Source organism: Homo sapiens, chromosome 9 (assembly GCF_000001405.40).
Source record: "Homo sapiens chromosome 9, GRCh38.p14 Primary Assembly".
Taxonomy (NCBI): domain Eukaryota; kingdom Metazoa; phylum Chordata; class Mammalia; order Primates; family Hominidae; genus Homo; species Homo sapiens.
Genome location: NC_000009.12, coordinates 110,185,917 through 110,197,856, shown reverse-complemented (window position 1 = coordinate 110,197,856; position 11,940 = coordinate 110,185,917).

The window sequence follows — 11,940 nt, the reverse complement described above, 5'->3', positions numbered from 1 at the left end:
GCTGGAGGGAGAGGCTCATTCCCGCACCCTTCTGTCTGTGTTTACACAGATTTTTGACAACGGGGTAGGAAGGATGGAGAGGAAGCACAGATAGCTCTTTATGTGACTGGCTATGGTGTAGTTTTGGTCTCTCGCCTTGGCCATTTACGCTGGCCTGGCTTGTCATCTATAGGCTTGGTATGGACAGGTGGTGGCCCCAGTGGGCTCCTGCTGAGGAGGGACTCATCCCAAGCATCCCGCTAGCGTGTTTGAGGGTCTCTTGGGAAGATGGCTATGCCTGGTCAAGCTGCCTCCACCCCATTGCATCAGGAGCCCATTCTTTTTACCCTTTGCCCCAAGTTCATCTACCTCTGCTAGCCCAGCTCGGCCTGTAGACACATAGGCAGGAGGCATTTTCTGCACCTATGTGAGGTGATCATCCCTGCACCTTCTCTTTCTGGCCATTCTATACTGTCTTGTTTCCACTGAAGTCTCCCCTTTCTGCTGAGCAATCATCTAGTGGGGGGATAATGTGTCAGTCCTCCTTCTTGCAGACACTACTTTATTTATTTATTTATTTGTTTGTTTATTTTTGAGGCGGAGTTTTGCTCTTGTTCCCCAGGCTGGAGTGCAATGGAACTATCGCGGCTCACTACAACCTCCGACTCCTGGGTTCAAGCGATTCTCCTGCCTCAGCCACCCGAGTGACTGGGATTACAGGTGCATGCCACCATGCCCAGCTAATTTTTATATTTTCAGTGGAGACGGGGTTTCGCCATGTTGGTCAGGCTGGTCTCGAACTCCTGACCTCAGGTGATCCACCTGCCTTGGCCTCCCAAAGTGCTGGGATTACAGGCATAAGCCACCTCTCCTGGCCGACACTACCATCTTTAAAAGAAAGGTTCTGCTGGGTGCAGTGGCTCACGCCTGTAATCCCAGCACTTTGGGGGGCCAAGGCAGGTGGATCACCCGAGGTTAGGAGTTCCAGACCAGCCTGACCAACATGATGAAACCCCATCCCTACCGAAAATACAAAAATTAGCCGGGCTTGGTGGCTCACGCCTGTAATCCCAGCTACTTAGGAGGCTGAGTCGAGGAGAATCAGTTGAACCCGGGAGGCGGAGGTTGTGGTGAGTCAAGATCCTGCCACTGCACTCCAGCCTGGGCGACAGAGCAAGACTCTGTCTCAAAAAAAAAAAAAAAAAAGAAGAAAGGTTCTTTGCCCTCCCTCTTTCCCCTTTGGCTTTGAGAAGAACTAGTCAAGTAGGGCATGTGTGTATGTGGTGTTTTCTTTCTTTTCTTTTTCTTTTTCTTTTTTTTTTTTTTTTTTTTTTGAGACAGGGTTTCATTCTGTTACCCAGGCTGGAGTGCAGTGGTGCGATCACAACTCACTGCAGCCTCAACCTCCCAGGCTCAAGCGATCCTCCCACCTCAGCCTCCTGAGTAGCTGGAACTATCCATGCATACCACCACAGCCAGCTAATGTTTGTATTTTTTTTTTTTTTTGAGACAGAGTCTCGTTCTGTTGCCCAGGCTGGAGTTCAGTGGCGCAATCTCGGCTCACTGCAAGCTCCACCTCCCAGGTTCATGCCATTCTCCTGCCTCAGCCTCTGAAGTTGCTGGGACTACAGGCGCCCACCACCACGCCCGGCTAATTTTTTGTATTTTTAGTAAATACGAGGTTTCATCATGTTAGCCAGGATGGTGTTGATCTCCTGACCTCGTGATCTGCTCGCCTCGGCCTCCCAAAGTGTTGAGATTACAGGCGTGAGCCACCGCGCCCAGCCACGTTTGTATTTTTTGTAGAGACAGGGTCTTAATATGTTGCCCAGGCTGGTCTCGAATTCCTTAGCTCAAGTGATCCACCTGTCTCAGCCTCTTAAAGAGCTGGGATTACAGACGAGAGCCATAGCATCCGGCCTTAGTCAGGTGTTTAATTCCATGGAGAGGAGAAGAGGGAATGAGCTCCATACAAACACTGAATGTCCCTATTGTGGCTCAGAAAACAGTGCCCCCAAGAGAAGGCCTCAGAAGCAAAAACTTTTCTCTGACCTTCTCCTGCCCTCCTGTCTCTCAGTGCCATTCTCCCCCAGGGCTAGCCATAGAAACTAGAATGCCTCTTTTCTAAGGTGGGTCATAGAAACCAGAATCCTGGCCTGGTGCGGTGGCTCACGCCTGTAATCCCAGCACTCTGGGAGGCCGAGCTGGGTGGATCACCTGAGGTCAGGAGTTTGAGCAGCCTGGCCAACATGGTTATAACTCCATCCCAACTAAAAATACAAAAAAATACAAGACAAAACTCCAGCCACTTTCTAAGTCCAGAACTTCTTTCCTGAGTCTTTTTTTTTTTCCCTCAGTGGCGCCATCCTGGCCCACTGCAACCTCCACCTCCCTGGTTTAAGCAATTCTCCTGCCTCAGCCTCCTGAGTAGCTGGGACTATATGCATGTGCCACCACGCCTGGCTAATTTTTGTGTTATTAGTAGAGATGGGGTTTCACCATGTTGGCCAGGCTGGTCTTGAATTCCTGGCCTCCTGATCCGCCCACCTTGGCCTCCCAAAGTGCCAGGATTACAGGCGTGAGCCACCGCGCCCGGCCGTTTCCTGAGCATCTTGATTCCAGGCAGAATATGTAGAGAAAATATTGCAACTTGCCTGTGGCTGTCTCCTCGCCCTCCCTCTAGGCACTCAGGCTCCTAGGGGGATAGCAACTTAAGACCCTACCTTAGGAAAGGACTTATTCCAAGGTCCCTGCTCACTCACAAACTAGGACTTCATTAGTACCTGTGTGTGCATGTGTGTGTGGAGGGAGATTAACCACAGCGGCCAAGGGGGAGGTTGGAGGGGATGAGTAGAGAGAAGGGAACTAAGAAGTCCAGCTCCTTACCTCTTTGGGGAGCTAGAGTCAAATTCCCTCGGAGTGTCACACCCATCCAGGACATGTCCCCATGGTGGTGGGAGAAACTGCCTCAGAGAGGGGTTGGGTCATGGCCACTACTTAATGCTGTGAAAGGAAATGAAAACTCAGGACCTCGGCCGGGCGCCGTGGCTCACACCTGTAATCCCAGCACTTTGGGAGGCCGAGATGGGCGGATCACGAGGTAAGGAGATCGAGACCATCCTGGCTAACACGGTGAAACCCCGTCTCTAATAAAAATACAAAAAATTAGCCGGGCGTGGTGGCGGGCGCCTGTAGTCCCAGCTACTAGGGAGGCTGAGGCAGGAGAATGGCCTGCAGTGAGCTGAGATTGCGCCACTGCACTCCAGCCTGGGCGACAGAGCCAGACTCTTCTCAAAAAAAAAAAAAAAACAAACAAACAAAAAAACGGCTAAAAGCTGAGTCATACAATGAAACTGCCTTTCCTTTTGTTCCTAAACAGATAGCACAGATAAAAGGTTAAATATCTCCACAGGCAGCTACTCCACTTTCGCCTTATCTTATGTAAACACTGAGTTACTGATTGCAAAACAAATCCATAATTGACTATTCCCCTACCTTCTCCTTTTCCCTTGCAACTTGTGGATTTCCAGACCCTCCCTTTTTCCCCTCCAGCAGCTTTTCCCCTTTAAATAGTGAAGTCCTGGAAGTCATCTTTGGAGAAAGGCACAGACCACACGGACTGTGTCTGTGATTCCGTATTTTTCCTTCTGGGCATATCCTTAACCTTGGAAAAATTAACTCATAAATTGATTCAGGCCCGTCTCAGAGCAATACTTGATGTCTGGTCCCTGTTTTGATCTTTCATATTTGAAAAACATTAATTTTTACTTGGCTTTCTTGGGTTTTGAGAGAAGCATCTGCAATTCTTTTTTTTTTTTTTTTTATTGTATTTGAAAGTTTTATTTTAGGCTGCAGAAACAAAAACAAGCAAACAAACAACAAATAACTTGAACAATTCTTTTAGTCTGGAAAAACTATAAATCTTCTCCAGTGGCACCTCCAGCCTCAGGTTCTTCCTGAGAGGATGCTTCTTCTGTTCATCTTATTTGTTTAAAAATCCCTGCGCCCCAGCTTGTGAGTAGGGTGCCCCATATTGAAGGTAAAAAGTCTAACAAGGTGATATCACTTGCTTAAGGTGGCACAGCTAGCAAATTGCACAAGGGAACAGCAAACTCAGACAGCCACAAGCCATATACCAGAGTCTGAACTCTTTTTTATTACTATTATTATTATTGAAACGGAGTCTTGCTGTGGTCTGTGGTCCAGGCTGGAGTGCAGTGGCGAGATCTTGGCTCACTACAACTTCCGCCTCCCAGGTTCAAGCAATTCTCCTGCCTCAGCCTCCTGAGTAGCTGAGATTACAGGCACGAACTACCACGCCCGGCTAATTTTTGTATTTTTAGTAGAGATGGGGTTTCACCATATTGGCCAGCTGGTCTCAAACTCCTGACCTCAGGTGATCTGTCCGCCTCAGCTTCCCAAAGTGCTGGGATTATAGGTGTGAACCACTGCACCTGGCCTTTTTTTTTTTTTTTTTTTTTTTTTTTGAGTCTAAACTCTTAACAACGTTAAACTGTCTCCTCCTGACTCCCTCCCTTCACTTATTTTTATAACATCATAGCTGGGAAATCCACCCTCCAAATATTTTTCAACTGAAACTGCCAATGGTGAAATTGCTGCTTCTAACTGGAGGCCAGAGAGAATCCTAAGACTTTTCCTAAATTCTTCATAAAACCTCACCTTTCCCCAGCCTCTCAGGCACTGGTTGACCCTCCACATTCTTCACAAACTTCAGACCACTTCCTTATTGAGAAAGACTCAGTCATGACTTCCAGCATTTTCTGTCTGCACATAAATTCTGAAAGCTTTCGCCAGCTGTGACTGTGTTTCTCCCACAGCTAATGAACAACACACTTCCTAGAAACAGAAAGTTCAAGGAACTGAACTTGTAATATTTTTTCTTGGCCTTGTGTTTGTGACAATTACATTAAATTTCCCCCTCCAATTCCATCCAATAAGATGATACACCCGCTGAAGTTGCCTTCAGTCTCTTCCCAGTAATTAACCATGATTTATTCCGTGTTATTAATCCTTGTATTTCTCCTCTGTCTGCTCACTGATAACTCCCCCATCCTGTGTGAATCCACCCCCTGAATTCCTCAAATCCAGGATCATAATTAAGACTTGGAAGCACACAAGCCCCCGAGCCCTGGCTGAGAAATAGGAGAAGGAGGAAAAAGCTGGTCATAGCAAATGCTGTCTTCTGCCAACCCAAACCCCAAATGTTTTTAAGGGGGGGCGAGCTGGCTCTCAAAATCAGTATCAGCCCCAGATCCAGATTAGCACATTTTCTCCCAATGCAGGAACTGCTTCTCTTTACAAGAAGTGCAGGTGTGATGGGCATGGTGGCTCACACCTGTAATCCCAGCACTTTGGGAGGCAGAGGCGGGTGGATCACCTGAAGTCAGGAGTTCAAGAGCAGCCTAGCAAACATGGTGAAACCCCGTCTCTACTAAAAATATGAAATTAGCCGGGTATGGTGGTGTGTGCCTGTAATCCCAGCTACTCAGGAGGCTAAGGCAAGAAAATAGCTTGAACCTGAGAGGTGGAGGTTGCAGTGGGCCAAGATCTTGCCACTGCACTCCAGTCTGGGCAACAGAGCAGGACTCCACCACCAAAAAAAAAAAAAAAAAAAAGGGAAATGCAGGTGCTCTCGTGGTGGGAGGGTTCTAAGAGCGAGACCTGTCTCTCTCTTGCCATGGGTCCCTTTCTCTGCCAGCTTCAGATTGCACTTGCTGGATTCTCCCCCAAGACTGGAGCCTTGCTCTCCTTTTAAAGCACTGTTCATGATACCAGTGGCTGCATTCACAACCTGAGGGCTGTGGGGATGCCCCCCACAAATCCCAGTATCCTCTCTGCTGAGCATTGCCACAAATTAACAAGATCAATGAGAAGACCCCTGACCAGTCAGGTACCACTACCAGTCCCCAAAGGGTGCGTGTGCAGAGGAAATTCCAAACAAGTGTGTACTATGGCAAAACCCTGATGAGTCCAGCCAGTCTTAGATGGCCTACAAGGCCTCTTTTTGTTTCTCTAGCCTCAGGCCCAGACCAAGGTGGCCCTATCTTCTGAGACGGTGTTTCTCAACATTGATTGCATAAGAGAATCATCAGGAAGCTTGGAAAATATTCAATTAAATGACAATCTCTGAAGTAGGGCTTGAGCACTGGCATTGTTTCTGTTGATCAAGGCATAAACCATGTAAAGTGTGGGAAGTGTGTTAATCTTGAGTATAGCTTATGTGTTAATTATTATGTATTATATATGTATTAGTCCATTTTCATACTGCTATGAAGAAATACCCAAGAGTGGGTAATTTATAAAGAGAAAGAGGTTTAATAGACTTATAGTACCATATGGCTGGGAAAGTCTCACAATCATGGCAGAAGGTAAAGGAAGAACAAAGGCACGTCTTACATGGCAGCAGGCAAGACAGCAAGTGGAGGGGAACTGCCCTTTATAAAACCATCAGATGTCGTGAGACTTACTCACTATCATGAGAACAGCACAAGAAAAACCCACCCCCATGATTCAATTACCTCCCACTGGCTCACTTCCATGACACGTGGGGATTATGGGAGCTACAATTCAAGATGAGATTTGGGGCTGGGCATGGTGGCTCACAGGTGTAATCCCAGCACTTTGGGAGGCCAAGGCAGGCAGATCACTTGAGGTCAGGAGTTCAAGACCAGCCTGGCCAACATGGTGAAACCCTCTCTCTACTAAAAATACAAAAATTAGCCAGGCGTGGTGGCCTGTACCTGTAGTCCTAGCTACTCGGGAGGCTGAGGCAGGATAATCGCTTGAACCCAGGAGGCGGAGGTTGCAGTGAACCGAGATCACGCCACTGCACTCCAGCCTGGGCAACAGAGTGATACAGTAAGACTCCATCTAAAAAAAAAAAAAAAGTTGACATTTGGGTGAGGACACAGTCAAACCATATCTGTATCTATATCTACATCTATATCTGCTTATTTTCACAGATACAGATACATACACACACAGATCAAGATATACATTTTGAGCATTCTAGAAAGTCGCCTTCAGTCTCTTCCCAATAATTAACTACAATTTATTTTTCCATTCTCCTGTTTCTACTTTTTTGCTATATGCATACAGTAAGCATTGTTCATTTTACACATCCTTTCGTGGACATTTGCTTCCATTTCTCTTTAAACCTCCCCACCCCTCTTTTTTTACAGATGCCTGTCTGGGTGAGCTGGTTTCAAGCATGGGTATTTTTTGAAAGCTCCCTCTGGTGATTCTAGAATTCTAAGATTCAGCATTGAGACCCACTGCCTTAGGACCACACTGATTATAAACTGAGGCACAAATGTGCTCAATGGATAGAGGCTTCTCTGTGAGGCTGAGTACAGAACTTGTGGGAATCTTCATGTCTCTCCTCCTTTGGGTGCCACTCTTATATTCCACTTGAGTTCCCATGGTGGGGAGAAGGGGTTGGGGAGGGTCCTATGGGGGAGGCAGCCCCATGCGTATTTTATCACACCAGCTCTGTGAGTAGAAGGCAAGGAAGTCACCCAGATGAGTCTTTGAAAAAGACTGTAGGCCAGAAGACCCTTTTTGTTCCTCCTACCAACAGGTAGGCCCTGCCGTATCCTTGAGAACCATCTCAGAGGACCCTCTTTTGGGATGCAGCTTCCTCATCCCAAAGCTTTGGAAAACCCTGAGCTTCCCCACTAGGGCTGACCTGTCTGCCTTTCATCATTACATAGAACCAGAAGTGTGCTGATGACTTCATGTCTTGGAGTTTCTCTAATTTCAGCATTATTCTTGAGATGGACTGGAAGTCATATGAAGACCAGAGAGAATGCAGTGATTACAACGAGGCAGGCTTCAGGGCAAGGGCCTGGAATGATTTGGGCAAGAAACTCCTGGAAAACCTCTCTCAGGTATTTAGCCAGAGGTGAGGAGGGTGGGCAAAGAGTTATTTTCAGGGTATTTTTCAGACACTTTAAAAATTTTAGGGTGGTTAATTTAAGAGTGATTTTGAATCCCAGCAAATCTCCTATGTCTCACTCAGGGGCTCTAAAGTGTGTTCTGCAGGCCAGCAGCATCGGCGTCACCTGGAAACATGTCCAAAATGAAAATTATTTGGCCCCACCCAGACCTGTTGACTCAGAAACTCAAGAGGTGAGGGCCAGCAGTCCGTTTTAGCGAGGCTTCCATAGGATTCTGATGCACACTCAACTTTGAAAACCACCATTTGTGGTAGAGTCTACCCCCTGCCTTAATGGGTGATCAGTATGGAGAAGTCACATTTGGTAGATTTTCCCTTGTAAACATTTCTTCTTTTTTGAGTTTAAAAAAAAAAAAAAAAAAAAAACAATCCGCCTTAGTGTCCCAAGCGTTTGGACAGAGACACAGAGAATTGCTTACTAGCTTTGGGGAGATTATGACATTTTTGCAAGATAAGTAACTTTTAGCTCCATTTTCCTATCCAGTCTACAGAATGTCCATTCTGTTAATCTCTGCTGATGGGGGAAAGGAGGTGGCAGGGTAAAAGTTTCACTCCCTACCTATCCCCATAGGAAGGGCACAGAACGTCTCACCCTTTGCTGCACTAGCCTCCAGGCCCAGGGCTGTGAAGCACGCCTTGTGTTTGCTTGCTGAGTTCCAGCTGGAGTGCTTGATGAGGAAGTAAACAGAGTTTATGCACAAAGAGAGAACATGTACTCAGTGTCTCCACATGCCAGACTCTGGTACAGAAGCAACAGATACAGAGGAAGTCACGAGCTTTGTTCTTAAGGAGGCTAAGTAACAAAAATTTAACCACTTGGAACAGGTGCAACTTCTGGGATATGTCTGAGTCAGTTCAGGCTGCCATAATTGAATACCGTAGACTGGGTGGCTTATAAACAGCAGAAATCTGTTTCTGAAAGTTCTAGAGGCTGGGAAGTGTAAGATCAATGCACTGGTAAACTCAGCATCTAATGGGGGCCTGCTTCCTGTTCATAGACGGCCATCTTCTGGCTGTGTCCTCACATGGTGGAAGGATCAAGAGATCTCTCTGGGGTCGCTTTTTTATTTTCTTTTTTTTCCCTGAGGTCTCTTTTATAAGAACACCAGTACCATTCATGAGGTCTCCATCCTCATGACCCAATCACCTCCCAAATACCCCATCTCCTAATATCACCAGATTGGGGTTCAGGATTTCAACATATGAATTTTGGAGTATGCAAACATTTACTCCATAACAGGAGATAATTAATTATAAACAACTTCATTTTTACCTTCCAAGGCCTTGGATGAAATTCATGGCTGGGTGTGTCACTCATAGGAATGAAAACCACTCGTTTCAGTTCAGAACTTAGTAAGTCCTGCCCAGCACAAGTTTAAAAACAAAAAAGCCCTCCAACTTCTTTCTCAGGAGCTCTGGGCTGGACGTCTGCAGTGAGGAAGGACGGGAAGCTTGGTTAACTGCTCTCCAAACTTGAGCTTCTAGCTCTCATCCCAAGTTACTTAGGGAAGTTTCATCCTCTCCAGGGTTGGGAGTGTACAATAACTGGGAGGGAGGTGGGTAAGACCTTACTTGAGTAATACTGTCATGAGATGCACGGGGAAGGAATTAAATGCTGACACTTTTTCTTTCCTCATTTTGGAAATTCACCCTCTAATGGATGGGATCCTCCCTGGACATGGGAGGAGGCATCTCTGCTTTTCCTGGTTGCTTAGAATCCATCTGCAGCTCCTCGGCATGCAGGAGTCAACCACCAGCTTGGTTTTGCTCTTGCTCCACACCTCACCCCTCCAAGGCAGTGGTTGTAATCAGGATCTAAGAAAATCTTAACACCATCTGTCTTAAATGCGAAGCCCCTCTCTGCTTCATGGGTCACACACATACTTTGTGCTCACAAACTCAGGAGAGGAGGCCAACCTCATGCAGCCATTAGGGACACCGTCAGCTATGACCTGGAGCCCTTTGGAGTTCTCAGGTGTGTCATGTTCTCCAGTTTACAAGGAACAAATAAAAGCTGCTTGAGGGGCCCTTTTGAAAACCTCTTTCCCACAGCTTGAAATGAGGCAGGCATCCCCTACTACCCCCTCTTTATGGGGATAGGACTCTCAGCTGACTGACAGTTCTCTCCAACAACCTTCTTCTAATTGCCAACCGCTGATGCGGCTGAGCTTGAAAGTTATGTATGAAGTTAAACAGAAAATTACCATATGACCTCACAATTCCATTCCTAGGTATACACCCAAAAGAATGGAAAAAAGGGACTAAAATAAGTACATGTACACCCATGTTTTCAGCACTGCTCACAATAGCCAAACAGTGGAAACAACCCAAGTGCCCACCAACAGAGTATGGAGAAACAAAATGTGGTCTATCCATATGATAGATTATTATTCAGCCATCAAAAGGAATGAAGTACTGATTCATGTTACAACACGGCTGAACCTTGAAAGCATTATACTAGGAGAAAGAAGCTCATTCACAAAAGGGCACATATTGTATGATTCTATTTATGTGCAATGTGCACAATAGGCAAATTCATAGACAGAAAGCAGCTTAGTGGTTGCCAGAAGCTGGAAGTGAGGGGAATGGGGAGTGACCATTTACAGGACACAGCACAGGATTTCCGTTTGGGATAATAAAAAGGTTTTGGAACTAGAGGTGGTGGTTGTATAACATTGTGAATGTACTGAATTATCTGCTTTACAATGGTTAATGTTATGTGAATTTCCTCTTAATAATTTATTACTTTTGTTTGTTTTTTTTTGAGACAGAGTCTTGCTCTGTTGCCCAGGCTGGAGTACAATGGCATCATCTCCATTGACTGCAACCTCAGCCTCCTCAGTTCAAGCAATTCTCCTGCCTCAGCCTCTCAAGTAGCTGGGATTACAGGTGCCCACCAATGCATCCAGCTAATTTTTGTATTTTTAGTAGAGATGTTTCACCATGTTGGACAGGCTGGTCTCAAACTCCTGACCTCAGGTGATCCACCCACCTCGGCCTCCTAAAGTGCTGGGATTACAGGTGTGAGCCACCGCCCCTGGCCAAGTTATTACTTTTTGTAAAGTTATGTATGATTGCCCTCTGGCTCCCCTCTGACCTTTCTGCCTGAATCTTTCTGTCTCATCCACATGGCTCTGTCCCAGGTGCTCATCCCATTTTTTGTCTGCATTCCTCCTTGGCGAGGTGGTCCATGGCATCACCTCTCACATCTATGCAGGTGATTCCCTGGGGAATATCCTGCCCTGCTCACTCTCTTGAAACCCGGGACCCATTTTAAATGGGCTTCTGGAATGCTATGCTTTAATGTGAACCCCTTGCACCAAATTCACTCCCACATTTTTGCTCCCCAAACTTATTCTTCTCCACTTTTGATGTAGGCTCAGATGGAACTGGATTAAGCATACCAATGATAAAGCTTCCAAGGAGGGGTCTGATGTCAGAGGATGATTCATACTTGCCTCAACCTGCCCAGTGCTCACTTTCCTCTGTCTGCCTGGAGTGAGCTTTGTGCTGTGGCACCTCAAACACAGGTAGAAAAGATAATCTGAATTCTCTTTGGGGATGTTTATGGAGTCCAGAGAGTTACGGTAGAAAACCCTCATCATACCCTTATAATGAGCCTGTACCTTTCCAGTGTACCAGACTGATGGCCAAGGACCAAGTAAATCACTTAATGGTTTGGGTGACATTATATGAGTATGCAGGTGTATCTAGAAGAATATGTGCATTAATTACACATTAATTACCTTAAGTGTTATACTTAAGGTGCTGAGTTTATACTCAGACAGCTTTATTACAGGTAAAGGGTACAATACTGCAACCGCAGGAGAGAGAAGAGTATCAAAAGGGATCTGCAGCTCTCAGGCACAGGCTTCTTTGTCTTCCCATTGCTGAGTCACACAAGACATGCTTGGTTTCTAGGTCTCAGACACCATCAGCGTTCACACAGAGAATATGAGAACTGGAAACCCAGGTCTACTTGC